The sequence below is a fragment of the Homo sapiens genome, chromosome 7, assembly GCF_000001405.40.
Source record: "Homo sapiens chromosome 7, GRCh38.p14 Primary Assembly".
NCBI classification, from domain to species: Eukaryota; Metazoa; Chordata; class Mammalia; order Primates; family Hominidae; genus Homo; species Homo sapiens.
In genome coordinates this window covers 110,538,837-110,555,229 of record NC_000007.14, presented here as the reverse complement: position 1 = coordinate 110,555,229, position 16,393 = coordinate 110,538,837, and positions in this window count along the sequence as shown.

Below are 16,393 nucleotides of genomic sequence, written 5' to 3'. Positions count from 1 at the left end.
CAATTTACTGTAAAAGCAAAAGAAATTTAATACTAGAAATATGACAAGATATTTGATATTTCTTATGTTAGTATTTGTGGGAAACTATTTTTATATAACTAACTCCTGCTGTAATTCTTATTTGACATCAGGTAGTTCAACCCCACAAATTGTTCTTCTCACCGAAAAGGCAGTCTGGGCCGGGCGCAGTGGCTCACTCCTGTAATCCCAGCACTTTGGGAGGCCGAGGTGGGCAGATCACGAGGTCAAGAGATCGAGACCATCCTGGCCAACATAGTGAAACCCTGTCTCTACTGAAAATACACAGATTAGCTGGGCGTGGTGGCGCACGCCTGTAGTCCTAGCTACTCGGGAGGCTGAGGCAGGAGAATCGCTTGAACCCGGGAAGCGGAGGTTGCAGTGAGGTGGGATTGCACCACTGCACTCCAGCCTGGTGACACAGTGAGATTCCATCTAAAAAAAACAAAAAAAAGGCAATCTCCTTTAGGATGGAAATCAGGAAATACCCCTAATTACGGATGCCTATTGAAATTTTTAAAGAAAACTGGATGTTTATATGGTTTGCCTAGGTGAAAATAATTTTTTAGCATCTTTAAAACATTACCATTGATAGTTTCTTGATACTTACTTTTAAAATGTTCAAGCACTTTATAAATGCATATTACATAAGTAATTATATGGAACTGAACATACCTTAAAGTTGAGGGTAAAGGAAACAGTAAAAATCAGTGATGCAGAAAGAAAGCAGACCTTTCATATTTTATTCTTGTTTTAAATATATATATTATGCTGATTATGTATCTCTTGAATATGAGCTTTTTATTAAATAGTTGAGTAGGATGATGAAAATACTGATATTTGGAAGAATTTTGAGTAATGCTAATTTCTTGGTGGTTTTACAGGGTTTATTCATAGAAGAACTCTTAAAACTTCACTGTTTATATGATTCGCCTCATAAGACAGAACTTTAGCTTAAGAGAAGGCAACAAAAGTCAGCAATAAACATGTGAAATAAGTAACTCATATAGTTTTTAAAGTCTTATACATAACACTTTTAACAGGTTTAGGGAAGGAAATAAAGGTACCTGAAATAGTATTCACTTTCTTTCTTGTCCGTCTGCCAGGGCAGCTCACATCACTTCTGTAACACAACATAGTTGTAGAGATTCATTGGCCTGTATTGTGTGTGTATGGGGTGAAAGGGGATAATTAAATATTTCAACTGAGAATCATCACCATTAAGAGTACTGCAGTGTTTGCTAGTGGCTTCCATGAACAGTGTAAGGCAATTTTTAAAATTTATTTTCCTGGAGGAAAATAAAAATAGATGAAAGAAGAAAAAGAAATGCTAAAGGAAAGGAAATGGGAAGTTTTGCTATTTTTCCCTACTAAATTGCAGGTATTTAGGGGTATTTACTAGTTATGGAGAATCAGAGACCCAGAGCAGACCCAACAAGGTAGAAATGAGTGTGGATTTGGGAACTGGAAGCTTGACATGCAAACAAAAATCCTTGGGAGTGCTAGGATAGTTAGGGTCTAGATAGGAGGGGACCTCCAGGAACCTCAAAGGGCCTGGGCAGAGTAATTCCTCTGGTAACTCCAAATACAGATGGTGAAGCAGGGGGTATGCTGCTTCCAGCAATTATTTGTAAATTTCTACTTGATATAGTCATAGTAGATAGAGCTGGTAGATATAGTGTATAATTTTATTAGTGTTTGAAAAGAGTAAAGATTGGCAGGGTGGCGTAGTTTGAGATTCTTAACTTGGTGAGCAGGCTAGGAGGCATGTCTGTTTCCTTGTAACTGGTGGCAGCACGATAGACTCATCCAATGGTGTTTTTTAGTTCTTTGCAACAAGTTACTATTTCAGTAACAGATTAGAACCCCAAAGTTGATTTTCTTTGGAAATTTATTACTGAAGAAATAAAATACATTCATTGTAATAGACTTAACATAAAAGATTATCCTGTAGAAACTATGGATATGATGCAGTATGTGGCTAACTGGGTTCCAAAGTGCTTGTCCTATCTTTCTATGAAATAGTAGCTTAACCCTGGAAAAGCTTGAATTGAGAAACAGAAAAAAAATAGTCTTTTCATCGACATTTATTGAGCCCTTACCCTGGGCATTGTTTGAGGAACTGAGAATAAAAAATTAAAAATCCAGATTTCCTGTCCTCAAGGAGGTTATAGTCTAGTAAAAAATGCTACACAGTACCTATGTGCTCTTATCTCAAAGTTAAAAAGCAGAATTATGAACTATGTGTTCTTTTGGAATCATTTGTATAAAACAGAACCACGAAGACAAAGAGACTGCAGAATATAATTACATCTAATGCCTATAGAAAGTGTCCATACGCCAGCCATTGGTCTACATAATTTTATAGGTATTGTATTCTATACTGCTGTGCAGTATACAATGACAGACTCTCAGAGACATACAAAAATAGACATTTATTCACCTCATTTATCTGAGCATTGGCTGGAATTAGCTAATCCAGGCTGCATTCACCTGGGCAGCTCTGTATCATGTTTCTGTCATCCTCCTCCTGGGACCAGGGGCTGCTCTTCTCTGGGCATGTTTCTCCCAGGGTGATGGCAGAGAATAAGTACATCAATAGGCACCATCACTTTTTCCCAATTCTATTAGCAAAAGCAGGTCATATGGCCCACTTAAGTCAAAGGGTAGGGAAAAAATTTATTCCTGTAGAGAAAGACACTGAAGACATGTGGTAAAGAACATGGAGACAGGGAAGGCTGAAGAATTGGAGCAAATAATGCAATATACTACAGGTATTTACTTAATTCTGGCAACAGCTTCATGAGGTAGATACACTCAATACTCCTTATCTGTTAAAATAGAAGAAGGGTAGTATAGAGACTATTGCATCCAAAGCCAGACTGTACTGGGTCTATTGCTGGCTCTTCCACTTATTAGTTATATGACTGTTATCACTTACTTTTTTGTGCCTTCGTTTTCTCATATGTAAAATGGAGATAATAACTTTACTTACCCTGTAGGGTGTCATGAGAAATAAATGAGTATGTATGTAACATGTTTAGAGCCATGTTGGACACATAATAAATGCTTAATAAATTTTGGCTATTTTACTGAATGGATAGCTAACATTTCTGGAAAGTTTTACTGTGGTCACAAAGCCATGTAACTCAGTGTTAACAACAACAATGAACAGCTTCTGCTCCTACTTTTGCCATGTAATGTGCCTGTTCCCCTTTTGCCTGCTGCGATGATTGGAAGCTTCCTGAGGCCTCCGCAGAAGCAGGTGCTGCTATGCTTCCAATACAGCTTGCAGAACTATAAGCCAGTTAAATATCTTTTCTTATAAATCACCCATTCTCAGGTAGTTCTTTACAGTGGTGCAATAATTGACTAACACAGAAAATTGGTACTGAGGAGGGCATTGCTATAAAGATACCTCATAATGTAGAAATGACTTTGAAACTGGGTAACATGCAGAGGTTAGAAGAAGCTGGAAGGTTCATAAGAAGATAGGAAGATGAGGGAAAGTTTGGAACTTCTTAGAGACTGGTTAAATGGTTGTGACCAAAATGCTAATAGTATTAGGTTGGTGCAAAGGTAACTGTGGTTTTTGCCATTCAAAGTAATATGTGAACAGTAAAGTCCACGTTGATGGGGTGTCAGATGGAAATGAGGAACTTACTGGGAACTGGAGCAAAGGTCACCCATGTTACGCTTTAGCAATGAACTTGGCTACATTGTGTCCATACCCTAGGGATATGTGGAAGTTTGAACTCAAGAGTGATGATTTAGGGTGTCTCTGGTGGAAGAAATTTCTAAGCATCAAAGCATTTAAAAGGTAGCATGGCTGCTTCTAAGAGCCTATGTTCAGACATAGGAGCAAAGAAATGACTTAAAGTTGCAATTCATAATTAAAGGGGAAGCAGAACACAAATGTTTGGAAACTTGGCAGCCTGACTATGTGGTAGAAATGAAAAGCATATTTTCAGGGGAAGAACACAAGAGGGCTGTGGAGAAACTACTTGCTAGAGAAATTTGCATAACTAAAAAACAGCCAAGTGCAAATAGCGAGGACAATGGGAAAAAGGCCTCAAAGGCATTTCAGAGACCTTTGAGGCAGCCCTTCCCTTTACAGGTCCAGAAGCCTAGGATGAAAGAATGGCTTCAGAGACCAGGCCCAGGGCAGCACTGTTCTGTATCACCCAGGAGGCCGCTCCTTAATATCCTGGCTGCTCTGGCTACAGCCTTGGCTTCAAGGGCCCCAGGTACAGCTCAGGCTGCAGCTCCAGAGGGTGTGATCCATAAGCCTTGGTGACTTCCATGTGGTGTTAATCCTGTGGGCATGCTGAGTGTGAAAGTAAAGGAGGCCAGACACTGCCTAGATTTCAGAGGATGTATAAGAAAGCCTTGGTGTCCAGACAGAAGCCTGCTGCAGGGGTGGCACCCATAGAGAGAACCTCTACTAGGGCAGTGTGGAAGGGAACTGTGTGGTTGGAGGCTCCACATAGAGTTCCCACTGGTGCACTGCCTAGTGGAGCTGTGGGATAGGGGCCACCATCCTCCAGACCCCAGAATGGTAGAATAACCAGTAGTTTGCAACCTCAGCATGGAAAAGCCACAAGGGTGGATTCTTGGGAATCTACCAAGGCCTTGGGATTCTACCCCTTGCACCAGTGTGCACTGGACATGGGACATGGAGTCTACTCCTTGCATGGAATCTATCCCAAGGCCTTGTTATTCTTCCCTGTACACCAGTGTGCCCTGGACATGGGACATGGAGTCAAAGGAGATGATTTTGGAATTTTAAGATTTAATGACTGCCCTTCTGGGTTTTGGATTTGCATGGGGCCTGTAGCCCCTTTCTTTTGGCCAATTTCTCCCTTTTGAAATGGGAATGCTTACCCAATATCTTGGAGGTAAATAATTTGTCTTGATTTTAAAGATTCATTTGTGGAAGAAACTCATCTCCATCTATGACTTTGGACCTTGAACTTGGGAATTTTGATTGAGTTGATGCTGGAATGCGTTAAGACTTTGGGGTACTGTTGAGAAGGCATGAGTGTATTTTGCAATTGAGATGGACATAAGATTTTTGGGACCAGAGGCAGAATTATATAGTTTGTATGTTTGTCCCCACCCAAATCTCATGTTTAAATGTAATCCCCAATATTGGAGGTGGGGCCTGGTGGGAGGTGTTTTGATCATGAGGGCTGATTACTTATGAATGGCTTAGGCCATCCCCTCAGTGGTAAGTGAACTCTAGCTCTGAGTTCACACAGGATCTGTTTATGTAGAAGTGTGCAGCACCTTCCCTGCCAATCCTTGCTCCTGCTTTCACCACACGATGTGCCTGCTTTCCCTTTGCCTTCTACTATGATTAGAAGCTTCCTAAGGCCTCCCAGAAGCAGATGCCACTATCTGCAGGCTTCCTGTAATGTCTGCAGAACTGTGAGCCAATTAAACCTCTTTTGTTGTAATTAAAAATGTAATGAACTCAGAACAATTGATGTGAAATCATATCTACTCTTGATCTTAAAATCACAGGCACTGTTCTCCACCTGCTATTCACAACTAGTGTTTTTTAATGAAACAATATTTTGAAGACATCCTTATCAATATTGTTACATTTTACAATAGAATGAAACATATCACCCTTTTAGTAAAGGCTATACATTAATATAATAATAATAGTTACTGACAAATTTTTATTCACTATCAGGAAGTATTCAGGTTATGTCACTTAGTTTCCATGAAAAGCTCTATTTCAGAAAATATATTCTTTATCCACATGTTATGTTTTTCATTTTATTTCTCTCAGATTGCTATAACCTTTTATTGCCATAACCCATTATTCATACATATGTAACTTAGAATTTTTGAAGTTGCAACAAAGGTATAAATATTTAAATCTGAGTATTCCGGGTTTTGTGTGAAGAGTTTTGTGTTTGAGGAGGGATCATCTTGTGACAATGTACTGAAGTAGATAATTATTCGTTTATGAAATATTACTTATATTCATCTCACAGATAAAAATTATAGTAGCTACAGAGAATACAGATAAATAAGATGTGGTTCTTGACTTCAAGGGTCTATAGTCCAATGGTAAAAAGTAAACTATTACAGTGCAGTGTGGTAAGTTCCAATAAGTATCCACACAGTACTCTGGACATCTTACCTAAATAAATGGCAGGGAGGGAATTAGGTAAGTCTAGGAGTAAACCAAGTGGAAAAGGAATACGCAGAATGGAAAAAGCAGAGACTCTCAGGAAGGCAGCAGTGAGTGCAAGTTTACTGCTTCTGGCAATAGTTTGGAATGGATAAAGAATTGACTTGTACAATTAAAAAAAAAAAAAAGAAATGGGAACAGTAAGAGATGACTCTAGAGAAATAGGCATGAATCAGATCTTTAATGATCTTGGATGCCACTCTAAGGATTTCGGACTTTACTTGGAAGTATTGGGCAGCCATTGAAGGCTTTTACACAATCTCATTTAGATATGCTCATGCTCCTTCTGATAGCCTTGAGAGAAATGGTTTGGTAGAGAAAAAGAGAAAGCAGGGAGGAGGGCAAGACTAATTAGGAGGCTATAGCCTCTGGGTGAGAACTGACAGGGCCAGACTTAAGGCATGGCAGTAAGAATGGAGAGCAGGAGGCAGATTCCAGAGATGTTAAGTATCTGGGCATGAAACATTCAATAACTATGTATAGGGCACTTCCTTACAGGGTTTGTTTCTTAAATAGGAAGATAATGAGGCTTTTGCTTTCCCTACCTCCCAACCTGGTAGAGTAAATACATTCATATATGTCAGTTGCAGCTGCACACACCTCCAGTTGCTTTTCCTAGCTCCACAGATAATATTTGGGCATTTAGTAATAAGCACATGTTACCATAAACCAAAGGTGGATACATAGGCCATCTAAGTTGATTGAATGAAGATCCAGACCTATTAGGTGATAAACTGGCCCCAGTGAAAAGTGTTTTCATTTAATCAAACTACACACGGTCACTGACTTAAGATGGTTTGACAGGAATTTTTAATTTTATGATGGTGTGAAGGTCACTCACATTCAGTACTTCGAATATGCATACAATTTTGAATTTTGATCTTTTCCTGGGCTTACAATGTAAGGTACGATATTCTTTTGTGATGCTGGGCAGCAGCAGTGAGCTACAGCTCCCAGTCAGCTACATGGTCACAAGGGTAAACAACTGATACTGTACTCTACAGTGCACAGTATATAACAATTATGAGATTTTCGACACTTTATTATAAAACTGACTTTATGTTGATAATTTTGCCAAACTGTAGGCTACTTTTAAGTGTTCTGTGCACATTTGAAGTAGGATGTGCTAAGCTATGATCTTTGGTAGAAGTGCATTTGTATTAAACGCATTTTCAGTTTGCAATATTTTCAACTTATTATGGGTGTGTCAGAATGTAACCCCATCATAAGTTGAAGAGCATCTGTAATTCATTAGAATCTCAGAATTTTAGAGTTTGAAGGTAACCACAAAATCCTGTTGCACAGTTGAGAATACTGAGATCAAGCGACATAAGGACTTTGTCAGTGATAAAGTGGTGTTAAAATCTGGACAGTCTTCGTTTGCAACACTTTCTACCATATCACACAGCTATTATTATTATATTTTATTTGAAACTTATCCTTACTTAGATTAAATTGTTTTTTTTGTAATCTTTGAAAGAGTGGCAAATGATCTGTTTTTATTTAGTTTCAACATTTTATCCCTACTCACTTTTTTCATTTTGTATTTTTAGTTCCACTTGATGATTTTCCTTTAATGGAATAAGATTTTACTTCTACTTGGTACTGCAAAAGAAATGAACAAAAATAAAACTTTTTAAAAGAATAGTTTAAGCCTCAAATGCCTCTCCCAGTATTTTCATATTAGAATACTTTTAAATAAATTATAGTTAATTAAGTGTGCAAATACACTAACTACTGTAAGTACCCAATTAGCTATCTTAACTGAAATAATTGTCCTGAATAGCACATTTTTTCAAACGTATTTTTCAAGGTGTTACATAAATCTTTGTTTCTGGTGTGAAAAATGTAATTACTATTGGACGAAAGAATATGGTAGCAGTTGATTGTTCAGGAATACAAATGTTGTAGCATGAATTACTAGCCTCTCCAGACCCCTGTGTATTCATCTGTTAAATAAAGAAACTGACCTAGAAATTTACAGAAGTTTTCTCCTTCTCCAAATTCTTGTAATCATGTATCTATTAACTGTGATCAATAAATTGCTTTGTCTACAGGCACCTATGCATTCTCCTAATTTTCACTTTTTTAATACCAAACTGCAACAATGTCCCTATTCCAGCCCTATTGCATCTTATTATTTTCTGTGTTCTGTGAGATCGTGAATTGCTTGGCGTTTCTCCTTCATTATCTTAAAAAAAAAACTCTTGATTTCTGACCTGTAAGCATATCCTCAAGTATCTGTATGTCTGTTCTCTATTTTTTGTTTTCATTTAAGTTACTTTCTAATAACGGCTTTCCAGATTATCTATGTGACTCCTCCTGACTGGTTACTGCTGCAAGATTTCCATGCCTGTGTTACTTTTGTAAAGTCACACCAAAGGAAGAATGAAGAGCACACCATCCCTTACCCTTAGGACTTACATTCTTTTCCCATCATTCTTTTAGTAGTACCTTTGAATATTCAATGTGCATGTGCACCTTGATACAATCTAAAGTTAGCCATATCCCTATACTCCTCTCTAACAATTTAATATATTAGAATGCCTAAAACATCATCCTTCCCTTTATCTAATTTGTTGTTATATACCTTTTCGGTTCTGTTTGTTTTAAAAATAAACTTCTGGGCCATGATTTACATAAAATAAAATGCATACATGTTAAGTGTACAATTGGGTGAATATTGTCAAATATATACACCCATTCATTTGACTTTTAACATCCTCAAAGTTAGTCATTACAAGTAAATCAAATCACATGTAATTACCAATAGGGTTCAACCAAATGTGTATTATAGTTGGATTTAAATTTACTTACATGCTTTTAATTCCTTTGCTCCTTATTGCTTCTTTCATTTTGTATTCAATTTTCTTTCAGAAATACAACCTTTAGGCAATTACATGTAGAATGCTAGTATTGACAGTTAATTATCTTTCAGCACATTAAAGTTAGTTTTTTCTGCTGTCCTCTTCCACTGCTGTTGTTAAGTCAGCTGTCGGTCTAATTGTTATCTCTTTTTAAGTGAATTATCTTTTCTCATTAGCTGCTTTTAGATCTCCTATGGTTTCCCTATAATCATATTGTTGGGAATTTATTTTTATTTATTCTACCTTAGATCAAGTAAAGTTTCTTCAATTGGGAGACAGATATTTTTCATGAACTCTGAAAAATTCTTGTTTATTGTTACTTCTTGGAGTATCCTCCATTTTCTCTATCTTCTCCTTCTGTGTCTCCTATTTGGCTTGATATTAGACCCTATCATTTTATACTCTTTATTTCAAATTTTAATCTCTTTATCATTCTTGCTGCAATCTAGCTAGTATCCTCACTAATATATCAATATAAATGAGTTTATTTAGTTGTGCTTGACATAATGGTTAACCTGCTTATGGAGATTTTAATTGAGAACATCTATATTTATCCTTATGCAACATCTATTTTTTTGCAATGTCTTTTTTTCTTGTATTTTTTTTTTAACATTTCTGCATCTCTTTACTCATTTTTAGCATACCTACTATAGTAGTCAGTTTTCACACTGCTTTAAAGAACTCCTTGAGACTGGTTAATTTATAAACAAACGAAGTTTAATTGACTCACAGTTCTGCATGGCTGGGGAGGCCTCAGGAAGCTTATAATCATGGTGGAATGTAAAGCAGAAGCACGGCATATCATACATGGTAGCAGGAGAGAGAGATGGGGAGGGGGAACTGCCAAACACTACAAAAGCCATCAGATCTCATGAGAACTCACTCCCTATCACAAGAACAGCATCGGGGAAACGGCCCCCATGATCCAACTGTTTCCTACTAGGTCCCTCCCTCCACACATGAGGATTACAATTCAAGATGAGATTTGGGTGAGGACAGAAAGCCAAACCATATCACCTACTTTATAATTTTTGAATTGATTTTCTAGGGCTGCTTAACAAAGAGGCTTAAACAATGGTCATTTATTATTTCACAATTCTGAAGGCTAGTAGTCTGAAAAAAAGGTGTCAGCACCTGAAAGTTGTGAGGAGGAATCTATCTGCTCGTGCTTTGCTGGAATCTCTGGCCTTCCTTGACTTGTGGAAGCATAGCTCTGGCCTCTGCCTCCATGTTCCTGTGCTGTTCTCCCTGTGTGTGTGTCTGACTCTGTGTCTGCATTTCCTTTTCTTAAAAGAACACCAGTCATATTGGATTAGGTTCCCACTCTTTTCAGCATGACCTTATCCTGTCACATTTGCAATGATCCTATTTCCAAATAAGGTCACATTGTAAGATACTTGGAGTTAGGACTTCAACATATGAATTTTGAGGGGGAACACAATCCAATGCATAATTACCTCACTAAATTATGGTTCTAAAATTTGAGATCTTGGGGTACTAATTGCCTGGTTTTCGTGTATGCTGAGCCCCTTGTTGCAGAAGGCTTCCTTTGGGGCTTTGAAATTTTTGAACGTGATTTTGAGTTTTCAATGAGGAAAATTGTTTTTTCTCTGTGGGATGACTACAAAGCTGGGTGGTGAAAGGTCCCTCCACAGCAGTTTTGCATGTATTTCTGCTACAGGCAGGCTTGAGTGTAGCACCACTACAGGGCCATTTTTGTTGTTGCTGTTATCAATTTCTGGCCTTGGAGTTTCCTGCACCACATGTCTAATGTAAATTTGCATTCCAAACTCATGAGAAACATAAAACTAGAGTTTACAATTCTCTCTAAAGGCTTTTATTTTTTCATCTAGAGCCAGGATACAGAGCAGTTTCCTTGTCTTTTCCTTGAGCTGTAGGTTTGAGGATGTATTAGGCCTTCCTTACTAGAATTGCAACCCTCAGAGGGGCCTAGATTTATGCAAGATTTTAATACCTACTTCTCCTCAACACCCAAGGTCTCCTAATGTGTCCCATGGGGGAGTAAAAAGTTACCTCCTGCCATTCCTGAGACTCCAGAGCTGCCACTCTGGCTTTCAACTTTGTTTTCTTGCTTGCTATCTGAGAATTTTGCTTTCTTTTCACCACTCTAAAAAATCTCAAGCATGATTCGTAAGTTATATTGTACCCTGTATATCCACTTACCAGTAGAGAGAAAGTTTCCTCAATGGCCTTTGCTAGAAATGGAAGTTACAGTCCCCTCTTTCTGAAGAGTTGCAAATAAATACTCAACAGTCGAAGTGCCTCGGCTAAGGTCATGCCATTATTTAGAACTCTAGCCTTTTGACTTCCTGTTTGGTGACCCTATACACTCTCTCTCTTCACCCTCTCATTACTGTCTTTCTTATCCCACTATTATCACCTTACTCAATAAAGCAACTCACAGGTTTTTTGGGGGTTTCATGTAATTTCCCCTCAGATACTAGTCTACCTCCAAAGGGTTCTGAATCCCAGAAACCCCAGCAGTAAGTGGCTTGAACACATAGCATTGAATAATTTTAATACCATTAATGATTATTATATAGAAAAAAAGTCTCCTTCTCTTCTCAAGGTTAACCAAATGCCAAGTGACGCTATAATCCTGGCATTGACTAGTTCTCAATGGAGTGTGCTAGACCTTTACTATTAAATTATCCCATGCTATTTTAAGGTATGAATTTGTTTATTCAATTTCAGATAAGGGTTATTTGAGCCCAAGTCAGGTTTAGGTGATTCCTTAATTAGAGCCTCACTTAATTGTCCTTGGGGAAATTGCCATAGATTCAGCCATAGGTGTGGCTTCTATCATGAGGCTAGCAGGCATGAGATTTTGTAGGGAAAATCTTCTGGAGGTAAGTATGATTGAGAGTTAGATTTATTGGGGTTCCTGTCTTATTCTACAGTCTCCATGTATAAGAATATGTGCCAGTTTAAATCTCATTTCCCATTAGGCCAGACTGACTCTCATTGTATATCAAGACCTGACAGTCTCTCAGATGTGCCTTGCACTTAAGACTCTTGGATCAAAGTTCTTGGATTGCACATAGTAATTGATTAAAAATTGGAATTAGTGTGGAAGATTAATATTCAAACATTTTATAACATACCCTTGCCCCATATTTTCAGCTTCATCCTCAAGAGATGGGGTTCTAGTGGTTTTTAGAATGAGCCTAAACGTAATTCTGAACTGTGAACCATAGAGAGATTTAAAGAAAGGGGCACAGAAAAAGACAGAAAGCTGGAGTCCACAGTAGACAGACTAGCAGTGTATCTCACTAGATTTTACAATGGAAGAGTTAGGGATCAAAAGGGACCTGGGAAGTTCTCTTGTTTTTTCTGGGCTGTCAAGAGCTATGCATGTAGGTATGTGTGTATGCACATGTATGCACAGTCACATGTTCCTGCCCCTTGGGCTACAGTGCTTCCAATTGGCAAGCCCTTTTATTTACATTCCTGTTAGATATCAATAGAATCTTGCTGTGCTGTGGCATCTACTGTATCAAAAAAAGCCAGCAAATAATCTGGTTGGTAGACTATACTTCCAAAGTTTTTTTTATTTTCGGTTGAAACCAAAGATTTTTTATGCAAAAGAAACATCAATGATTTTTGCTATTCTGTACAAACCTACCAGATAAACAAAAGTAACATTTGACATAGGCTACTTTCCATTAAGCTATGAAACAATCAAAAATTTAGAAAAGAATTTATTTTTACATTGCAGTACAAAGCAGAAAACACCATTGCCTTAGTAATAAGTAGCATAAGTATGAATTTATATGGTTGCTCAGATTTCAATGTGCTACCATTCTGAGGAAAAAAAGTGGATATTAGATCTCATGAAAAATCATGTCTTGTTTATCTAAAAGACCTAAGTAGGCTTTTAGGATCTTACTCAAGAATGTTTCTTTCATATTCATCATTTCAAAGGAATGTTAGTAATTAAGAAAAGACAAATTCATAAAGGTGCAGTTATTGCAAATGATTAGTCACTGTTTTTACAGTTAATGAATAGATACCTCCTATGTGGTACGAAAGTATTCATTCCACTTATAGTATTTTAAAATTCCAACGTCTGGAATAATCTGAGAAATATGCTTACCATCAGGTTCCACATTACATTTAGAATTCACTGTTTTAATGACTATGTCTCTATTAGTAAGCTTTATTTCATTATTGGATATTTGGCATTTTACCTTTCCCAAATTAAAGAGTTTTATCCAAATGCAAAGGGAAAAAAACAAAAAACAAACAAACAAACAAAAAAAACAAAAGCTTGCTCATCAAAACAATAAAAAAGAATCACTTTTAACCCATCTTGCATTACGGTTTCTACTTTATCCACCAAATTCCTTTTACCTTTCCAAATAAAGTGTCTAAAGGGGATTTTGTAAGATAAATATTTCTTGGCTCTTTTATACTGGTGTTGTTTTCCTATAGGAGCTAACTGATGGGAATACTTTATGAGATATCACCAGTATTTTAGACTTCCTTAGCTTATTTTCTTTTCCTCCTTTGACATTTGATGTATGATATATAAAAATTGATGCATTTGTCATACTCTTGGCTAGAGACAGAGACAAAACAAACAAACAAACAAATAAGCAAACAACCCAAAAAACCTTGATGCCTGCCTCTAAAGGGCATATAATATAGAGTAGTAAGCACTGTGCAGAATTTCATAATAGATACAATGCCCAAGGGGCAACTGGTGCCCAAAGGGGTAATTAAGACACTTTGGTGGGGTCAGCAAAGTCTTCATGAAGGAGAAAGTCCCTGAGTTGAGATTTGAAAGACAAACAGAATTAATGAGAAATGGTGGAAGAGTATTCTAGATTGAGGCAGTGGTAGGTACGAAGTCACAGAGGCATTAAATAATATGATGTATCTGGAGAAGTTCAAATTAACTCCATATAGTTTGAACAAAGAATGTGAGTAGAGGAAGAGAGTGAAGCAAATCATGAAGGGGTTAGTGAACATTTTAGAAAGATCACTTTTGTAGCAGCATGGGGAGGTTGCTAAGACAAGTTAGAGTGACCAGCTGGGAGCCAATAGAGGAACAGTGAAGACCTGAACTAAGGTTGCTGCAGTGGGATGAGGAGAAGGTAAATTATTTAAGGGAAATTAAGGAGGTAGATGGGCAGGTCCAGGTGACTGGATGGATTGGCACTGAGATAAGTGAGTTGAAGTCAAGGCTGATTCCCCAAATCATCTGGGCCAGATGGGAGAATACTGGAACCATTCACAAAGAGAAAATAGAGGTATAAATGCAGGTTATTTTAAAGTAATGCAATGAACTTGTCTTTAACTTGCAGAGTTTGACATGCTTATAGCATATCTGAGAAGATATGGTCTGTACCTGTTGGATACGGAGGTCTGGAGATTAGCAGATTTCTGTTACTGATCCAGCTGTAGAAGTCTTCAATGTATTCTACCTGCCTTATGCATTCTACAGAGGTGTTTTGAGAAACAAGTAACATGGTGTTGGAAACAAATACATTGCTTTTCACAATTGTATGGTAGCTACAATCTATTGGGTGTATTGGGCTAAGTGCTTTACAGAAATTCTTGCTACAATCCTGTGGGATAGGTATTTACTCAGGTTTAAAGTCATTAAGTAACTTGGCCAATGTCACACTGCTTATACGTCCTAGAGAAATGATTTGAACTTGGGTCTCTGATTCAAAAGCCTGTCCAGTAGACCACTGGACTACCTGACTTTTGATTTATTTTACCTCTCCAGGTAATATAAATTATTTTCCGCTAGGCAGCTTGACATATACATTTAATGAAATTGGTCCTTCAGAAAATATAATTGTTAATATACCAGTAAATATTATTCAAAGTTCCAAGAAAAAAGTATGTATTTCTTCATTTTGTCTGGACAAAGGTAAAGATCTTGTTGGAAATAGCAATTTATTAAAAACAAAAAACTGATGCCTAAAAAAAATCTAAATATAATGAACTTTCATTTGTACAGAGTGGTTGATGAAAAGGATGTCTTTCATATCTTTATAGAACTCTATAAGTTACAAAAATTTTGATACGTCATTCATGATTCTTACAACAGAAACGTGAAACAGGTGTTCTTTTCATTTTCTTGGCTTAAGAGACTGAGTCATTTAGACACATCAAATATTTGGACAATCATTGTTTCCTCTTTGCATATTAACATGACGTTGAAAAATGTAATGCTCTTACATTGATATGTTGGAAAAGCTTATCAAAGAAATAATGCCCAGTCAAATTGTTGCATGTTTTAATTTCCTAAAATCTCCCAAGTGGTCAATTTTTCTTTTCCTTATAAGAATGATGATTTTCCCTTCACAGAAGCTAAAAACTTAATTAAACCTTAGTTGCTGTTTAGCCAAACCACAACACAATTTCATTGATTAAAAATGATGAATCATATTAGTAAATTCAATAGCATTAGGAAATGAAAATATATAATGCAATATTTTAGGAAACGTCACTTTTATGGAAGGAAATTGATCCTCCAATAAGGGTTACAAAAAGAAAAAGAAAAATTAAGTATAATATTTACAAGTTTGATAATTTTGTTTATTTACTAATAAGTAACTATCATGTTAATAAACCCATTTACTTGTGGATATTAGTAATAAGAGAGCCTGGCCAAATGACCCATCCATTCATACAAACAGCTAGAGCTTGAGGGTTGAGTAACATTTTTAACACTCAGTCTGGATTCACCACAGTAGGTTTACATAAAAATGCCATGAGCAGAATGATGTGTGTGTTCTTGCTTTCACAAGAACCAGGTCATCTAAAGAATTTTATATATGAGGCTGGAGTGTGCTAAAAAATAAATAAAAAGTAGAAAAAAATGAGGAATTTCACATAGGAGTATTCTTAAATTCCATGTTTATATTTAGGCAAAGCACTGCTCTAGTAAAAGACACACTGCACTGTTTGGAAAAACAGTTTTGCATTATGTAAGAAGCAGATGAAAGTGATATTTTTAATATACTTTGCATACTTAATTCAGAATTATTTATAGAGATTATAAATGATGTTAAGTGGCAAAAGATATAACTGAACTATATTCAGAAGAATTCAGTGGGGGCTCTGCATTGCAACAAGAACATGACTAGTAAAAAAAAAATATCATGGTGTCTTATTGTCATCCAAGTGAGAACAACCTAAAAGATAAGCATTTAAAAAATGGTTTCCCTTTGATTTGCTAACTGCATTGGAAAGAAGCACAATAGGAAATGGCAAATTGAGAGTTCAAGGTTATTTTGGGCTTTATGTAAAGAGTGCTTTG